Below are 20,360 nucleotides of genomic sequence, written 5' to 3'. Positions count from 1 at the left end.
TCACAGACTTCAAATTTGGACAGGTATGGCCTTTATTTTAGTAGGCTGGGGTTATCAGGAAAGGGCTGTGTATTAGTCCATTCTCACACTGCTGTAAAAATGCTACCTGAGACTGGGTAATTTATAAAGAAAGAAGGTTTAGTTGACTTGTTCCTGGACCAAACCAAGGGTCGGGCTGCTTATTCTTTGGCCCAATAACGAGATACAGATGAACTGGGAAAGAAGGGAAAGGCCTGGAAATTATCGCCAGACCAATTCAAAATTACAAAGTTTTCCAGAGCTTATATACCTTCTAAGCTATATGTCTACATGTAAATGCATTCATCTAAAGACGTAAGTGATTAACTTCTTTTAATCTATAACTAAGATTAGATCAGGACCTAAGGAAGGTCCTGAAAACCTTCTTCTGGGGCCTCAGTAAATTTACTCAATCTAAATGGGTCCAGGTCCTGGGGTGATTACCCTTATCTTGCCTCCTGCTAAATCACGGAGGTTTGGGGAGTTCCTTCAGACTGCCAATAAACTTGTTTGTGGCGGCCTGAGGAGTTTCTTCAGACCCCCAGTAAAACTTGTTTAATTCTAAACAGGTCCTGTTAAGAATTCCTTCATTATCTTGTCATGCTTCAAGGCCCAGGAAAGGCCTAGGCAAAACTCTTGGTGGGTTTTTGTTACATCCCAGCCTTTGTGAAAGGACACTGGCTCTATCAGCTTTTAATATTTAACATAACCACTCAGTCAGTACCGGAACAGTTGTTATGGAGGCCTGTCTGTTCAGCTGTTATGAAGACCTGGCCTGCCACAGACTTACAGTTCCACATGGCTGGGAGGCCTCAGGAAACTTACAATCATGACAGAAGGCGAAGGGGAAGCAAGGCATGTCTTACATGGCAACAGGAGAGAGAGAGAGAATGTGCAGGGGAAACTGCCACTTTTAAACCATCAGATCTCATGAGGACTCCCTCACCATCGTGAAAACAGCATGCATGATCCAATCACCTCCCACCAGGACCCTCCCTCGACAGTGGGGATTACAATTCAAGATGAGATTTGGGTGGGAACACAGAACCAGAACATATCAGGCTACCATCTGGATAAGGTGGGCACTGGGAAAATGAATCCAGATGTAGATGCTCATGGAAAAGGCACAGTGCCCAAAGGTGAGAGTGATCTCTACATAAGAGTGAGCAAAATGAAATATCAGGATATTTTAGCATGTGGGTGAATTACAACTGGATGTCTGCACAAACATTTGGCACCAGGAAGATCTGCTTGTTTAGGGTGTGGGAACAGGGTTTTATGGAATGTGAGGACATAAAGATTGTCAAGAGTAAAGCCAGCAGTTAGGAGAGGACTGGGAAAGGACTTAGGACAGTGCTCAAAGGGGAAGTCCACCCAGATACACTGGACACAATCAGGGACTGGATTTAAAGTGCATGTCTAGGTAGGAGAACTGAAGTACCACTTAAGGGTTAGATTAAGAAGGATGTTGATGTGTATTCCTAATGGGATCAGCACCAGTGTTAGTCTGGAGGTCATTTAAGCATCTTCAGTTTAAAAACAGGCCTGATACCTGTGGCCTAGGCTGTGGAACAAAAAAAGAATGGAGAGAAAGAGAGTAAGGTTAGGATTCACAGACCTGACCCGCCACTTCATCTTCTCTCTCACCTCTGTCCTCTACAAGATCGAGCCATGTAGGATAACTTGGATACTTGTTCTCCTTAGCTCTCCTTTCTCCCTGCTGCTTGCTTTCTCTAGAATACTCTTCTTCTAATTTCTCTTGTTAAAAATCATACCCATTCATCAAGGCTCAGCTCAAATGCCATTTTCTGCCTTTCCTGTCATGCCTAATGGGGAACTTTAGTACCTTCCTCCTTTTGATCTTCTCTGTCAATTCCATGCCATAGAACTTTCTTTGAAGTTTTATAATCTGCATTGTTCAATACAGCAGACACTAGCCACATGTGGCTATTAAGCACTTGAATGTGACTAGTGACTAAAAAAGTAAAACGTTAATTTTATTAAATTTACATTAATTTAAATAGACACTTGTGGGCAGTAGCTACCGAGTTGAACAATGTAGTTCTATGACATCTTTCATAGCACTTCCTCTTTAACAATTAACAGACAGTTTTCATGCCTAATCTGTGTGAGGCTTGGTGATAGGTATTAGAAATATAGCATGATTATGATACAGTTTCTACCATCGAGAATTAGCACAGATATCCTCCCTTTTACTATAGTGATTGGCACATTTTTCTTATTTATCTTAATATGCTAAAAGCTTCTTTAGGACAAGTATATGTCTTACTTATCTTTGTATTCTCCCTCAGGCCAAAACACAATGCATGCATATTCCAGGTGCTGTAAGTTATTCATACTGAATTGCAAATCTGTTCTCTTGTGAAATATTAACCTAATCCAATGTCTAAAAATGAAGCTTTCATGATCTGTTTTATACTTGAAAACACTGCAGCCATTATTTAATATAATATTCTTACCTGGGCTAAAACAAATCTTCTAATTCAGTTATCAAAAATGAAAGGCCAAAGTGAATGGAGAAGGAAATAATTCAGATAGGAAAAGGGGAAGTCAAATTGTCTCTGTTCACAGATGACATGATTGTATATTTAGAAAACCTCACCGTCTCAGCCCAAATCTCCTTAAGCTTATCAAAGCAACTTCAGCAAAGTCTCAGGATACGAAATCAATGCACAAAAATCACAAGCATTCCTATACACCAATAACAGACAAACAGAGAGCCAAATCATGAGTGAACTCCCATTCACAATTGCTACTAAGAGAATAAAATACCTAGGAATACAACTTACAAGGAATGTGAAGGACCTCTTCAAGGAGAACTACAAACCACTGCTCAAGGAAATAAGGGAGGACACAAACAAATGGAAAAACATTTCATGCTCATGGATAGGAAGAATCAATATCGTGAAAATGGCCATAACTGCCCAAAGTAATTTATAGATTCAATGCTATCCCCATCAAGCTACCTATTGACTTTCTCCACAGAATTGGAAAGAACTGCTTTAAAGTTCATATGGAACCAAAAAAGAGCCCGCATAGCCAAGACAATCCTAAGCATAAAGAACAAAGCTGGAGGCATCACACTACCTGACTTCAAACTATACTACAAGGCTACAGTAACCAAAAGAGCATGGTACTGGTACCAAAACAGACATATAGACCAATGGAACAGAACAGAGCCCTCAGAAATAACACCACACATCTACAACCATCTGATCTTTGACAAACCTGACACAAACAAGCAATGGGGAAAGGATTCCCTATTTAATAAATGGTGCTGGGAAAACTGGCTAGCCATATGCAGAAAACTGAAACTGGACCCCTTCCTTACACCTTATACAAAAATTAACTCAAGGTGGATTAAAGACTTAAACATAAGACCTAAAACCATAAAAGTCCTAGAAGAAAACCTAGGCAATACCATTCAGGACACAGGCATGGGCAAAGACTTCATATCTAAAACATCAAAAGCAATGGCAACAAAAGCCAAAATTGACAAATGGGATCTAATTAAACTAAAGAGCTTCTGCACAGCAAAAGAAACTATCATCAGAGTGAACAGACAACCTACAGAACGAGAGAAAATTTTTGCAATCTATCCATCTGACAAAGGGCTAATATCCAGAATCTACAAAGGACGTAAACAAATTTACAAGCAAAAAACAACCCCATCAAAAAGTGGGCAAAGGATATGAACAGACACTTCTCAAAAGAAGACATTTATGCAGCCAACAAACATGAAAAAAAGCTCATCATCACTGGTCATTAGAGAAATGCAAATCAAAACCACAATGAGATACCATCTCATGCCAGTTAGAATGGTGATCATTAAAAAGTCAGGAAACAACAGATGCTGGAGAGGATGTGGAGAAATAGGAATGCTTTTACACTGTTGGTGGGAGTGTAAATTAGTTCAACCATTGTGGAAGGCAGTGTGGCGATTCCACAAGGACCTAGAACTAGAAATACCATTTAACTCAGCAATCCCATTAGTGGGTATATACCCAAAGGATTATAAATCACGTTGCTATAAAGACACATGCACATGTATGTTTATTGCAGCACTATTCACAATAGCAAAGACTTGGAACCAACCCAAATGTCCATCAGTGATAGACTGGATTAAGAAAATGTGGCACATATACACCATGGAATACTATGCAGCCATAAAAAGATGAGTTCATGTCCTTTGCAGGGACATGGATGAAGCTGGAAACCATCATTCTCAGCAAACTAACACAAGAACAGAAAACCAAACATGTTCTGCATGTTCTCATTCATAAGTGGGAGTTGAACAATGAGAACACATGGACACAGGGAGGGGAACATCACACATTGGGGCCTGTCGGCGGACGGGGGAATAGGGGAGGGATAGCATTAAAAGAAATACCTAATGTGGCTGACGGGTTGATGGGTGCAGCAAACCACCATGGCATGTGTATAACAAAACTGCACATTCTGCACATGTACCCCAGAAATTAAAGTATAATAAAAAAAAGAAAAAAAAGTAAATGGGTAGTCTCTCTATTTGTGGTCTCTCTACACTTCAGTGGAGTCCCCCTTGGCCCTATCCCCAACCATGCTATCAAACCCAGTAGCCTTATGTTCTTCTGTCTAATCCACAGCCAAAATCTATCCTCAGATTTATTTTCACAAAATTAGCATATATGACTAATAAAAGTCAACATCCTTTAAGATTTTTTTATTTAAATTGTTATCATAGCCTTAAGCTAAAGCAGTGGTTTTTCAACTTTATGCTATATTTCTTGGAAAACATACGTTCTGTGAAGCTCCCTTAGAAACCCATACTGGGGTGGAGAGATTAGGGCCATTGTCTTAGTCTGTTTTGTGTTGCTATAACAGAGTATCACAAACTTGGTAATTTATAAGAATATGAATGTACTTCTGACAGCTCTGGAGGCAGGGAAGTCCAGTATCAAGGTGCTGGCATCTTGTGAGGGTCTTCTTGTTGTGTCATCCCATGAGAAGGCAGAGGGCAAAAGAGCATGCAAAAAAAAAAAAAAGGGTGGAAGGGGGCCAAACTCATCTTTTTATCAGAAACCCACTCCCACAATAATGACATTAATCCATTTATGAGGTCAGGAGCCTCATGACCCAATCAACCTCTTAAAGGTCTCGCCTCTCAACACTGTTGCATTGGGGATTAGTTTCTAAAACATGAACTTTGGGGGACACATTCAGACTACAGCATTCTGCTCTTGGCCCCAAAAATTCATGTCTTTTTTACATACAAAATACATTTATTCCATCCCAATAGCTCCAAAAATCTTAATTCATTCCAGCATCAACTCATAAGTCCAAATTACCAATTGTCATCTAAATCAGGTATGGGTGACACTCAAGGCAGGATTCATCCTGAGGCAAATTCCTCTCCAGTTGTCAGCCTGTAAATCAAGACAGGTTATCTACTTACAAAATACAGTGATGGGATGTGTGGAGGATAGACATTCCCATTCCAAAAGGAAGATATAAGCAAGAGGAAAGGGCCAAGTAAGTCCAAAACCCAACAGGGAAAATAACAGTGTCTTAAAGCTGGAGAATAATCTTTCACTCTTTCACTTAAGAAATGTCTAAGAAGTTTCAGACTTTCCCTACAGCTGTCCTCTTTCTCTGAGCCCCCACCAGCATCACCTTTAATCCTCCAATTATTGCAATCTAGGCTTTTTCTAGGTTGCTCCTCCAAATTCTTCGAGCCTCTATCCGTTAACCAATTCCAAAGTCACTTCCACATTTTTAGGTATTCCTTATAGCAACAATTCCACTTCTGGTACCAAAATCTGTATTAGAATTCTCCAGAGAGACAGAACCACTCAGTTCTCCAACTCACATGCCAGTCTCCTCTGGAAATACCTTCACAGACATAACAGAAATAATGCTTTACCAGTTCTCTAGGTACTCCTAATTTAGCCAAGTTTACACCTAAAATTAACCATCACAGGCATCTCTAATTTTTGGTTCCTGTAATAGGATGGAAAATTATACACATATATAATGTACATATTATGGATATAAAAATTACAGATACGCTATAATATAGAGTGATATATATTATAGATATAAAAATATATATTATATATAGTTTTCTCCCTCCCTTTTAAAATGAACTTTATTGAGGCATACTTTTTTCTTTTAAGTGGTCTTTATTTTTTAATTTTCTTGAAGGTAAAATTTAAATTATGAGAATAGGTTTTCTTTTTTTTTTTGAGATGGAGTCTCACTCTGTCACCTACGCTGAAGTGCAGTGGCACCATCTCCGCTCACTGCAATCTCCGCCTCCTGGGCTCAAATAGCTGAGTAGCTGAGTACTTCCCAAGTAGCTGAGTACTTCCCAAGTAGCTGAGACTACAGGCAAATGCTACCATGCTGGGCTAATTTTTGTTTTTTTTGTAGGAAAGGGGTTTCACCATGTTGCCCAGGCTGGTCTTGGACTCAAGTGATCTGCCTGCCTCAGCCTCCCAAAGTGCTGGAATTACAGCTGTGAGATTACACAGGCTGAGAACACTTTTTCATAGATTGACTAAACTCCAAGTTTTAGAAGAACAGACACATGTCTGTCTGTTTCGCTCAACATGTTATCTCATTATCTAGCATACCTGCCACATAGCTGGCAATCAATAAGTATGCATTCAGTGAATGAATAAATGAGTAGATAAAATAGTTCTCTATGTTCTTTTTCTAGTTTAAATTTTTTCCACTGGCACGGTGGCTCATGCCTATAATCCCAGCACATTGGGAGGCCAAGGCGAGTGGCTCACCTGAGGTCAGGAGTTCAAGACCAGCCTGGCCAGCATGGTGAAACCCCATCTTTACTAAAAATACAAAAATTAGCCAGGCGTGGTGGCATGCACCTGTAATCCCAGACAGGAAATCGCTTGAAACCAGGATGTGGAGGTTGCAGTGAGCCAAGATCATGCCACTGCACTCCAGCCTGGGCGACAGAGCAAGACTCCATCTCAAAAAAAAAAAAAATTTTTTTTTCTTCATATGATTTTTTTTTCATTTTTAAAAATTGTGGCAAAATATACATAACACAAAATTTACTTCCTTAATCATTTTTAAGCATACATTTCAGTGGTATCAAGTTTATTCACAATCAGCCATCAAAACCATCATCTCCAGAACACTTTTCATCTTACAAAACTGAAACTCTCTACCCATTAAGCAACAACTTTCCATTTCTTTCCCCCATCCCACCCCTGCAACCCACAGCCCCTGGAAACCACCATTCTACTTTCTGTCTCTGATTTTGACTATTCTAAATACCTCATATAGTTGGAATGATATAGTACTTGTCTTTTTGTGACTGAGATTTCACCTAGCATAATGTTCTCAAGTTTAATCCATGTTGTAGCATGTATCACAATTTCCTTTTTTTTAAGGCTGGATAATATTCCATTGTATGTATATACCACATTTTCCTTATCTATTCATCTGTCAATGGGTTGCTTCCATGTTTTAGATGTTGTGAGTAATGCAGCTATGAACATTGGTATGCAAGATATCTCTTTAAGACGGTGCTTTCAATTCTTTTGGGTATATACTCAGAAATGGAATTGCTAGATTAGATGGTAATTCTATATTTAAAGTTTTGAGGAACCACCATACTGGTTTCCAGTGTCTGTGCTATTTTCTACTTCCACCAACAGTATATAAGGGTTTCGATTCCTCTATGTCCTTGCCAACACTTGCTATTTTGTGTTTTTTTTTTAATAGTAGCTATCCTAATGGGTGTGGGATAATATCTCATTGTACTTTTGAGTTGCATTTCCCTAGTGATTAGTGATGTTGAGCATTTTTCATGTGCTTATTGGCCATTCATCTATCTTCTTTGAAGAAATTATTGCAGTATAATTTACATGAAATAAAATGCACCCATATTTAAAGATACAGTTTGAAGAGTCTTGACAAATGTCTCTATTCATGTAACTATTAACACTACTTCAATCAAGATTTAGAGCGTCTCTGTCACTCCAGAATGTCACCTTGTGCCCTTTGGCCACCAGTTCTCTCACACTCCTGGCCTTGTGCAACTATCGATGTGCTTTCTGTCACTGTAGATTCATTTTGCCTCTCTTAGCACTGCACTTACATGGAATTCTGCACTAAGTACTCTTTTGCATTTGGCTTCTTTTGGCATAATATTTTTGAGATTCTTCCATGTTGTTTCAGGTAGATGCATGATATTTTATAAGTGAAAATTCATGAATCAGTGAGCAGATGGGAGGTCATAATAACAGTGATACTTATTAGACACTTGTTATGTGCTATGTGTTATGTGCTAAGCACTGTTGAAGCTTTATAAATACATACTATCTTATTTAAACTTACGTTTAAATCAACCCCATGAGGTGATATTATTAACCCATTTGAAAGACAAAGAAACTGAGCGACAGGGAGTATAAGTAATTTGCCAAATGTCACACAACTGCCCAGTGGTAGAGCTGGGATTTGAGCTCAAAGAATATAACTCCAGGGTCAGTTTGTAAAACTGCCACAGGGGAGGAGCCAAGATGGCCAAATAGGAACAGCTCCGGTCTACAGCTCCCAGCGTGAGCGACGCAGAAGACGGGTGATTTCTGCATTTCCATCTGAGGTACCGGGTTTCTCTCACTAGGGAGTGCCAGACAGTGGGCGCAGGCCAGTGGGTGCGCGCACCGTGCGCGAGCAGAAGCAGGGCGAGGGATTGCCTCACTTGGGAAGCGCGAGGGGTCAGGGAGTTCCCTTTCCGAGTCAAAGAAAGGGGTGACGGACGCACCTGGAAAATCGGGTCACTCCCACCCGAATACTGCGCTTTTCAGACCGGCTTAAAAAGCGGCGAACCATGAGATTATATCCCACACCTGGCTCGGAGGGTCCTACGCCCACGGAGTCTCGCTGATTGCTAGCACAGCAGTCTGAGATCAAACTGCAAGGCGGCAGCGAGGCTGGGGGAGGGGCGCCCGCCATTGCCCAGGCTTGCTTAGGTAAACAAAGCAGCCGGGAAGCTCCAACTGGGTGGAGCCCACCACAGCTCAAGGAGGCCTGCCTGCCTCTGTAGGCTCCACCTCTGGGGGCAGGGCACAGACAAACAAAAAGACAGCAGTAACCTCTGCAGACTTAAGTGTCCCTGTCTGACAGCTTTGAAGAGAGCAGTGGTTCTCCCAGCATGCAGCTGGAGATCTGAGAACGGGCAGACTGCCTCCTCAAGTGGGTCCCTGACCCCTGACCCCCGAGCAGCCTAACTGGGAGGCACCCCCCAGCAGGGGCAGACTGACACCTCACACGGCAGGGTATTCCAACAGACCTGCAGCTGAGGGTCCTGTCTGTTAGAAGGAAAACTAACAAACAGAAAGGACATCCACACCAAAAACCCATCTGTACATCACCATCATCAAAGACCAAAAGTAGATAAAACCACAAAGATGGGGAAAAAACAGAACAGAAAAACTGGAAACTCTAAAATGCAGAGCGCCTCTCCTCCTCCAAAGGAACGCAGTTCCTCACCAGCAACGGAACAAAGCTGGGTGGAGAATGACTTTGACGAGCTGAGAGAAGAAGGCTTCAGACGATCAAATTACTCTGAGCTATGGGAGGACATTCAAACCAAAGGCAAAGAAGTTGAAAACTTTGAAAAAAATTTAGAAGAATGTATAACTAGAATAACCAATACAGAGAAGTGCTTAAAGGAGCTGATGGAGCTGAAAACCAAGGCTCGAGAACTACGTGAAGAATGCAGAAGCCTCAGGAGCCGATGCAATCAACTGGAAGAAAGGGTATCAGCAATGGAAGATGAAATGAATGAAATGAAGTGAGAAGGGAAGGTTAGAGAAAAAAGAATAAAAAGAAATGAGCAAAGCCTCCAAGAAATATGGGACTATGTGAAAAGACCAAATCTACGTCTGATTGGTGTACCTGAAAGTGATGGGGAGAATGGAACCAAGTTGGAAAACACTCTGCAGGATATTATCCAGGAGAACTTCCCCAATCTAGCAAGGCAGGCCAACGTTCAGATTCAGGAAATACAGAGAACGCCACAAAGATACTCCTCGAGAAGAGCAACTCCAAGACACATAATTGTCAGATTCACCAAAGTTGAAATGAAGGAAAAAATGTTAAGGGCAGCCAGAGAGAAAGGTCGGGTTACCCTCAAAGGGAAGCCCATCAGACTAACAGCGGATCTCTCGGCAGAAACCCTACAAGCCAGAAGAGAGTGGGGGCCAATATTCAACATTCTTAAAGAAAAGAATTTTCAACCCAGAATTTCATATCCAGCCAAACTAAGCTTCATAAGTGAAGGAGAAATAAAATACTTCACAGACAAGCAAATGCTGAGAGATTTTGTCACCACTAGGCCTGCCCTAAAAGAGCTCCTGAAGGAAGCGCTAAACATGGAAAGGAACAACCGGTACCAGCCGCTGCAAAATCATGCCAAAATGTAAAGACCATCGAGACTAGGAAGAAACTGCATCAACTAACGAGCAAAATCACCAGCTAACATCATAATGACAGGATCAAATGCACACATAACAATATTAACTTTAAATGTAAATGGACTAAATTCTCCAATTAAAAGACACAGACTGGCAAATTGGATAAAGAGTCAAGACCCATCAGTGTGCTGTATTCAGGAAACCCATCTCACGTGCAGAGACACACATAGGCTCAAAATAAAAGGATGGAGGAAGATCTACCAAGCAAATGGAAAACAAAAAAAGGCAGGGGTTGCAATCCTAGTCTCTGATAAAACAGACTTTAAACCAACAAAGATCAAAAGAGACAAAGAAGGCCATTACATAATGGTAAAGGGATCAATTCAACAAGAAGAGCTAACTATCCTAAATATATATGCACCCAATACAGGAGCACCCAGATTCATAAAGCAAGTCCTGAGTGACCTACAAAGAGACTTAGACTCCCACGCATTAATAATGGGAGACTTTAACACCCCACTGTCAACATTAGACAGATCAACGAGACAGAAAGTCAACAAGGATACCCAGGAATTGAACTCAGCTCTGCACCAAGCGGACCTAATAGACATCTACAGAACTCTCCAACCCAAATCAACAGAATATACATTTTTTTCAGCACCACACCACACCTATTCCAAAATTGACCACATAGTTGGAAGTAAAGCTCTCCTCAGCAAATGTAAAAGAACAGAAATTATAACAAACTATCTCTCAGACCACAGTGCAATCAAACTAGAACTCAGGATTAAGAATCTCACTCAAAGCCGCTCAACTACATGGAAACTGAACAACCTGCTCCTGAATGACTACTGGGTACATAACGAAATGAAGGCAGAAATAAAGATGTTCTTTGAAACCAACGAGAACAAAGACACAACATACCAGAATCTCTGGGACACATTCAAAGCAGTGTGTAGAGGGAAATTTATAGCACTAAATGCCCACAAGAGAAAGCAGGAAAGATCCAAAATTGACACCCTAACATCACAATTAAAAGAACTAGAAAAGCAAGAGCAAACACATTCAAAAGCTAGCAGAAGGCAAGAAATAACTAAAATCAGAGCAGAACTGAAGGAAATAGAGACACAAAAAACCCTTCAAAAAATCAATGAATCCAGGAGCTGGTTTTTTGAAAGGATCAACAAAATTGATAGACCACTAGCAAGACTAATAAAGAAAAAAAGAGAGAAGAATCAAATAGACACAATAAAAAATGATAAAGGGGATATCACCACCGATCCCACAGAAATACAAACTACCATCAGAGAATACTACAAACACCTCTACGCAAATAAACTAGAAAATCTAGAAGAAATGGATAAATTCCTCAACACATACACTCTCCCAAGACTAAACCAGGAAGAAGTTGAATCTCTGAATGGACCAATAACAGGAGCTGAAATTGTGGCAATAATCGATAGTTTACCAACCAAAAAGAGTCCAGGACCAGATGGATTCACAGCTGAATTCTACCAGAGGTACAAGGAGGAACTGGTACCATTCCTTCTGAAACTATTCCAATCAATAGAAAAAGAGGGAATCCTCCCTAACTCATTTTATGAGGCCAGCATCATTCTGATACCAAAGCTGGGCAGAGACACAACCAAAAAAGAGAATTTTAGACCACTATCCTTGATGAACATTGATGCAAAAATCCTCAATAAAATACTGGCAAAACGAATCCAGCAGCACATCAAAAAGCTTATCCACCATGATCAAGTGGGCTTCATCCCTGGGATGCAAGGCTGGTTCAATATACGCAAATCAATAAATGTAATCCAGCATATAAACAGAGGCAAAGACAAAAACCACATGATTATCTCAATAGATGCAGAAAAAGCCTTTGACAAAATTCAACAACCCTTCATGCTAAAAACTCTCAATAAATTAGGTATTGATGGGACGTATTTCAAAATAATAAGAGCTATCTATGACAAACCCACAGCCAATATCATACTGAATGGGCAAAAACTGGAAGCATTCCCTTTGAAAACTGGCACAAGACAGGGATGCCCTCTCTCACCACTCCTATTCAACATAGTGTTGGAAGTTCTGGCCAGGGCAATTAGGCAGGAGAAGGAAATAAAGGTATTCAATTAGGAAAAGAGGAAGTCAAATTGTCCCTGTTTGCAGACGACATGATTGTATATCTAGAAAACCCCATTGTTTCAGCCCAAAATCTCCTTAAGCTGATAAGCAACTTCAGCAAAGTCTCAGGATACAAAATCAATGTACAAAAATCACAAGCATTCTTATACACCAACAACAGACAAACAGAGAGCCAAATCATGAGTGAACTCCCATTCACAATTGCTGCAAAGAGAATAAAATACCTAGGAATCCAACTTACAAGGGATGTGAAGGACCTCTTCAAGGAGAACTACAAACCACTGCTCAAGGAAATAAAAGAGGATACAAACAAATGGAAGAACATTCCATGCTCATGGGTAGGAAGAATCAATATCGTGAAAATGGCCATACTGCCCAAGGTAATTTACAGATTCAATGCCATCCCCATAAAGCTACCAATGACTTTCCTCACAGAATTGGAAAAAACTACTTTAAAGTTCATATGGAACCAAAAAAGAGCCTGCATCGCCAAGTCAATCCTAAACCAAAAGAACAAAGCTGGAGGCATCACACTACCTGACTTCAAACTATACTACAAGGCTACAGTAACCAAAACAGCATGGTACTGGTACCAAAACAGAGATATAGATCAATGGAACAGAACAGAGCCCTCAGAAATAATGCTGCATATCTACAACTATCTGATCTTTGACAAACCTGAGAAAAACAAGCAATGGGGAAAGGATTCCCTATTTAATAAATGGTGCTGGGAAAACTGGCTAGCCATATGTAGAAAGCTGAAACTGGATCCCTTCCTTACACCTTATACAAAAATCAATTCAAGATGGATTAAAGATTTAAACGTTAGACCTAAAACCATAAAAACCCTAGAAGAAAACCTAGGCATTACCATTCAGGACATAGGCATGGGCAAGGACTTCATGTCCAAAACACCAAAAGCAATGGCAACAAAAGCCAAAATTGACAAATGGGATCTAATTAAACTAAAGAGCTTCTGCACAGCAAAAGAAACTACCATCAGAGTGAACAGGCAACCTACAAAATGGGAGAAAATTTTCGCAACCTACTCATCTGACAAAGGGCTAATATCCAGAATCTACAATGAACTCCAACAAATTTACAAGAAAAAAACAAACAACCCCATCAAAAAGTGGGCGAAGGACATGAACAGACACTTCTCAAAAGAAGACATTTATGCAGCCAAGAAACACATGAAAAAATGCTCATCATCACTGGCCATCAGAGAAATGCAAATCAAAACCACAATGAGATACCATCTCACACCAGTTAGAATGGCAATCATTAAAAAGTCAGGAAACAACAGGTGCTGGAGAGGATGTGGAGAAATAGGAACACTTTTACACTGTTGGTGGGACTGTAAACTAGTTCAACCATTGTGGAAGTCAGTGTGGCGATTCCTCAGGGATCTAGAACTGGAAATACCATTTGACCCAGCCATCCCATTACTGGGTATATACCCAAAGGACTATAAATCATGCTGCTATAAAGACACATGCACACGTATGTTTATTGCGGCATTATTCACAATAGCAAAGACTTGGAACCAACCCAAATGTCCAACAATGACAGACTGGATTAAGAAAATGTGGCACATATCCACCATGGAATACTATGCAGCCATAAAAAATGATGAGTTTGTGTCCTTTGTAGGGACATGGATGAAATTGGAAATCATCATTCTCAGTAAACTATCACAAGAACAAAAAACCAAACACGGCATATTCTCACTCATAGGTGGGAATTGAACAATGAGATCACATGGACACAGGAAGGGGAATATCACACTCTGGGGACTGTGGTGGGGTGGGGGGAGGGGGGAGGGATAGCATTGGGAGATATACCTAATGCTAGATGACGAGTTAGTGGGTGCAGCGCACCAGCATGGCACATGTATACATATGTAACTAACCTGCACAATGTGCACATGTACCCTAAAACTTAAAGTATAATAAAAAAAACAACAAAAAAAAACTGCCACACTATGCTAATTTATCAGGCACTGGGTAAACCCAAGCACTTCTTCTTCTTCTTCTTCTTCTTCTTCTTCTTTTTTTTTTTTTTTTTTTTGATGGAGTCTCACTCACTCTTGCCCAGTCTGGAGTGCAGTGGCGCAATCCCAGCTCACTGCAACCTCCACCTCCCAGGTTCAAGTGATTCTCCTGCCTCACCCTCCCAAGTAGCTGGGATTAGGGATTACAGGCGCATGCTACCAAACCCAGCTAATTTTTGTATTTTTAGTAGAGACGGGGTTTTGCCACGTTGGCCAGGCTGATTTCGAACTCCTGACCTCAAGTGATCTGCCCACCTCGGCCTCCCAAAGTGCTGGGCTGACAGGCATGAGCCACCACATCTGGCCAAGTCCTTCCTTCTTTCAAATCCCAAGCACTTCTGAGAGTATCCGGTAAACATCCTGCTTCTCTTCCTCTTTTTCCTTTCTCTGGCATTCCCAGCTGGCATTCCCAGCCTCTTCTCATGCCATATCACCTGAATAAGGGGACGCATACACTTTCTAAACAAAAAGCCTAAATTGTCACTAGTAAACCAAAATCCTGGGGAAAAAACGAACAATAGAGGAATAGAAAAGAAAAGCAATTACATTACATTTCTCATTAATGCCAACTTGCCTAATTTCATGGGCCAGCGCTTATTTTCATGCTTGATTTCTCATGAGACTGGACAGGAACACTAAAAAATGGGTTCCCCAGCTCTAAGTCAGTGTTTATTTTGACAGAAATGGCAATCTACATTTCCACTGTATTACCAGAAGAATCAATATTGTTCTGCACCATTTCCATAAGCTAGCCTAGTGCTGTACATTTGTTTTTGAGTTAGTAAACATTTTAAAACGAGAACTTGCTTATTCATTATTCATTATATCCTCACAAAGGCCAGATTACTTTGGAAAGGCAGAAATTATAGGAGACCCATTTTTCAAGGTGACTGGATGAGTTGCCTGAGATTACACACCTGCTTCTGGATGATCTTCAAGGTTAATGGTCAAGCCAGGCCTAACTGGCATCTCCCAGCATCACCCCCTAGCCCTTGCTCTGGTCACCAGCACAGTGGTCTCTTGGGTGTAAGTAAGAAGTATGTTTCCAATTTGGGTTATGCTAGTATCAGTGGGAGATATTGTAATTCACTTCTCTAATCAAAGAACAAATTATTTCTTCATATTTTTAGTACATGAGAGTAGAGAATTTTAACAACAGATACCTTAATTACTGTCTTTTTTTCCAACTTGCTTTCACAGACCAGTGACCTTTTCTATTTCATAGTAAACAAACTTCATGAGTACTTGCCGGAGTCTAGGGATAAGAATGCACTACAAAATCAAAGCCAAAGGGTTGATGAGCTGGTGTAAGTACTAACTAGATAATCATCGATTTTTTTTTTTTTGCTAGGGTGTTAAAGATAAATGGAAGACACTGGACAAAATATATGCTGGGTTAATGATTAATGGCACTGCAAGTTTTTCTTCCTGTGGATTTTATTTTTATTTTTATTTATTTATTTATTTTCTCTTGAGACAGAGTCTCGCTCTGTTGCCCAGGCTGGAGTGCAGTGGCACGATCTTTGCCCACTGCAATTTCTGCCTCGTGGGTTCAAGCAATTCTCATGCTTCAGCTACCGGAGCAACTGGGATTACAAGCTTACGCCACCACGCCTGGCTAATTTTTGTATTTTTAGTAGAAACGGGGTTTCACCACATTGGCCAGGCTGGTCTCGAACTCCTGACCTCAGGTGATCCATCCATCTCAGCCTTCCAAAGTGCTGGGATTACAGACATGAGCCACCATGCCTGGTCTCTTCCTGTGGATTTTAAGAAATAGAACTCATTTTGTTCTAATTTTAATGGAAGGATGCACAAGAAACTAGTAATATTTGTTGTCTCAAAGTGGGAAAAATGGGTATCTGGAGGAGAGACAGCTTTCACTGTATTCTCTTTTTTACCATTGACATTTTGAGCCAAATAGTACCTCTCTGAAAATATTAAAAATTTAAACAATAATTTTAAAGCAGTGTCTGATTATCCTAAAAACTTTGGAAAAGAGATACATATAAAATGATTTAGTACTGACATCCAGCTATTCATTCATTCAACAATTTTTTTCTTTTTTTTTTTTTTAGAAAAGTTCTCACTCTGTCCCTCAGAGGGAGTGCATTGGTGTGATCATGGCTCACTGCAGTCTTGACCTCCTGAGCTCCACACTCAGCTAACTTTTGTAAAGATGGGGTTTTGCCATGCTGCCCAGGCTGGTCTCAAACTCCTGGGCTCAGGCCATTCGCCCACCTGGGCCTCCCAAAGTGCTGGGATTACAGCATGAGTGATATGTTAGCTACCCCGCCCGACCAGCAAATGTTTTTGAGTGTTTACTGTGTAGCAGTCAGAGTAGGCACTTAACCAATGTTAGCAATTTGATGTACAAAATTTATTTCCTGTACTTTTTTCTGTATGGATATCTGGAAGCAGTTTTAGCAAAAATTACTACTTTTGTGGAATTCTGAGCTTCTAATGAAATCATGCCATTTCTTTGCCTTTTATCGTTTATTTTCTAGGGCATGCATTGAAATTATACAGACCCTAGTATTGATGTTCAGAGAAACAGAAACCGAGTCATCACGCCTGAACACATTGGCAGCTAAGAAGTAAGGTCTTTTAGAAGACATTGGGACCTTGTAGTTGCAACCCATTAACTATTCTTATTAAGTGTCTTCCAAAGCACATAATTCTCCAACTTCCCTGTTCAACACCCTTCCAAGTATATTTCACTCTTTTGTTTTTCTCCTTCCTTCCATGATGAACAGGTTAATTGGCACAGGCCGAGTTCTCTCTGTCTCTCTGGATTATTAAGGGTACAAAGATTTTCTCAGCATAATTTTTTTTTGTCCTAGTCTGGTGAACTTGAAAAAGACCAAATGACCCATCATACATTAAAAGCCGGGGGATCTCCGCCAGAATTTCCCATAGTGTCCTTATATCCACACAACAGAAAAACTGCAAAATCAGGTGTTATAGTAGCCTCATTTACAATATAATCGTGTGACCTTAGAGTAAATGACTTTGGAGAGTTTATTAATATCTAGGGTGAGCTGCTGTAATAAAGACACTCTAGGCCAGGCACGGTGGCTCACGCCTGTAATCCCAGCACTTTGGGAAACCAAGGCGGGTGGATCACCTGAGGTCAGGAGTTTGTGACCAGCCTGACCAACATGGTGAAACCCTGTCTCTACTAAAAACACAAAAATTAGCCAGGCATGGTGGTGCGCACTTGTAATCCCAGCTACTCGGGAGGCTGAGGCACGAGAATGGCTTGAACCTGGGAGGTGGAGGTTGCAGTGAGCTGAGATCACACCATTGCACTCTAGCCTGGGCAACCCCATCTCAAAAAAAAAAAAAAAAATAGATACTCTAAAATATGTGGCCCAAAGAAGATCTTAATTGAAATCTTTCTTACACAACAGTTCAGAGTAAATATTCAGGCTTTCAAACACAAGGTGAGCCAGGGACCTAGGTTTTTTCCCCTTTGTTACTCTGTTGCCTGCTATCATGTTGTCTTTGTCCTTATAGTGTAAGCTGGCTGACCTTGATGACTTCATTATACCCTGTGGGAAGCAGAAAGAGAAATAGAGGGCATTCCAGTTAAAAAAGAAAAAAAAAAAAAAGAGAGAGAAGCAGAGGGCAAACAAGCTTCCTTTTTAAGCAAGGCATGTAACACTTCTGCTCACATTCTCCTGGTGAGAACTTCAGGCACATGGCCACACCTAGCTGCAGGAGAGGCTGGAAATGTGTCTGTAGTTGGACAGCTATGTGCCTAACTTCGTTTTGAATGGTAATGGGGACATCTGTTATTAAAAGGAAGAATGGAAGAATGTATAGGGGGGGACAGTAGCATTCTTTGTCTTTTGATTTTGATTTGCAGTTTTGCATACTGTCTGCTTGATTTTTTATTTTATTTTATTTTTTTGATACAGAGTTTTGCTCTTGTCACCCAGGCTGGGGTGCAATGGCACGATTTCAGCTCACTGCACCCTCTGCTTCCTGGGTTCAAGTGATTCTCCTGACTCAGCCTCCCAAGTAGCTGGGATTACAGGCATGAGCCACCATGACTGGCCCTAATTTCATTAATTAATATTTATTTTTCTTTCTTTCTTTTTTCTTTTTTTTTTGAGACAGCGCTTCACTCTTGTTGTCCAGGCTGGAGTGCAATGGCACAATCTTGGCTCATGGCAATCTCTGCCTCCCAGGTTCAAGTGGTTCTCCTGCCTCAGCCTCCCAAGTAGCTGGGATTACAGGCGTGCACCACCATGCCCGGTTAATTTTGTATTTTTAGTAGAGATGGCGTTTCACCATGTTGGTCAGGCTGGTCTCAAACCCCGACCTCAGGTGATCCGCCTGCTTCGGCCTCCCAAAGTGCTGGGATTACAGGTGTGAGCCACCACGCCCGGCCTCATTAATTAATATTTCTTAAGTACACTTGCTCACTTGCTATGTGCCAGGGACTATGGGCATACTATGCTTTTTTTCTTTTCTTTTTTTTTTTTTAGATAGGGTTTCACTCTCATCCAGGCTGGAGTGCAGTGACACGATCTTAGCTCACTGCAGCCTCGACCTCCCTGGGGCTCAGGTGATCCTCACCTCCCCAGTAGCTGGGACCACAGGTACATGCCATCATGCCCTGCTAATTTTTTTGTATTTTTCATAGAGATGGGGTTTTGCCATGTTGTCCAGGCTGGTCTCAAACTCCTGGGCTCAAGTGATCTGCCCCCTCTTACCCCCAAAGTGCTAGGATTACAGGCATGAGCCACTGTGCCAAGCCGGCATATTATGTTGTGTAGCAGGAGTGGGCAAACATTTCTGTAAAAGGTCATATAGAAAATAGTTTTGGCTTATCACGTCATACAATCTGTGCTGCGTCTACTCAGTTCTGCCATTGTAGCCCAAAAGCAGCCATAAGCAGTACATGAACGAATGGACACAGTTGTGTTCTGATAAACTTTATTCACAGAAACAGGCTGTAGGCTGGATTTGGCCTGCAGGCCATAGTTTGCTGAGCTCTGCTTTACAGCAAACAAGAAAATACACCATGCCAAGCTAGTTCTTATTTTTTTATTTTTTTGTAGAGACAAGGTCTCACTTTGTTGTCGGGGCTGGTCTCAAACTCCTGGACTTAAGTGATCTTCCCGCCTTGGCCTCCCAAAGTGCTGAGATTACTGGCATGAACCACTGCGCCCAGCTTGAATACTTCTTTATGCGATTGGTAGTACTGCCGTTTCCCTAATCTCCAAGATGGAGATTCAACATTATTTTTGATATTTCTGTCTTCTCCCACATTAAAATTATCACTAAATCTGGTTATCCTTTTTCTCCACCTTTTGGTCTCTACCTTTCTGTTTCCAAGTTGAAAAAAATCATCCTTAGTCACCTCTGTTGTAAAGTATTGTTTTTATGGGGTTTTCTTTGTTCTTTTTCTTTAAAAGCGTTGCCTTTAATTGTTTTGTTTTAACTTGGTTTGATCACATCAGCCGTCCTATATCAAGCCTCTTTCCTGATATTACCAATTCTTTTCATGTCCTTCAATACATATATTACATTGCTATAGTAGAGTCTGGTTGTAATATTAACTTTTCTCAGCCAGTTTTTATATCCCTAGGGTCAAATCATGTGCCCCATAGTATTACGTAGCCCAGTAAATATCTAATAAAACTGTATTCGTTTTCTTTTTTCTTTTATTTTTT

General features: G+C 40.8%; 1 protein-coding gene across 7 annotated transcripts in view; it reads left to right on the top strand.

Annotated features, from left to right (window-relative positions):
* C12orf56 (chromosome 12 open reading frame 56) overlaps window positions 1-20,360 on the top strand; it is a 125,997-nt gene that overhangs the window by 88,825 nt on the left and 16,812 nt on the right. For 6 of the 7 annotated variants that reach the window (NM_001099676.3, NM_001170633.2, XM_047428257.1 and 3 more), the window contains 2 exons: window positions 15,874-15,980; window positions 17,181-17,270. In NM_001099676.3, the coding sequence (NP_001093146.1) occupies window positions 15,874-15,980; window positions 17,181-17,270 (197 nt within the window). Of the gene's footprint in view, window positions 1-15,873; window positions 15,981-17,180; window positions 17,271-18,192; window positions 20,354-20,360 lie in introns of those variants that run through there. The other variant, XM_017018770.2, reaches the window with a different exon arrangement.

The sequence above is a fragment of the Homo sapiens genome, chromosome 12, assembly GCF_000001405.40.
Source record: "Homo sapiens chromosome 12, GRCh38.p14 Primary Assembly".
NCBI lineage: Eukaryota > Metazoa > Chordata > Mammalia > Primates > Hominidae > Homo > Homo sapiens.
Note: the sequence above shows the minus strand (reverse complement) of the source record. Positions and strands in the feature narration are given on the sequence as shown.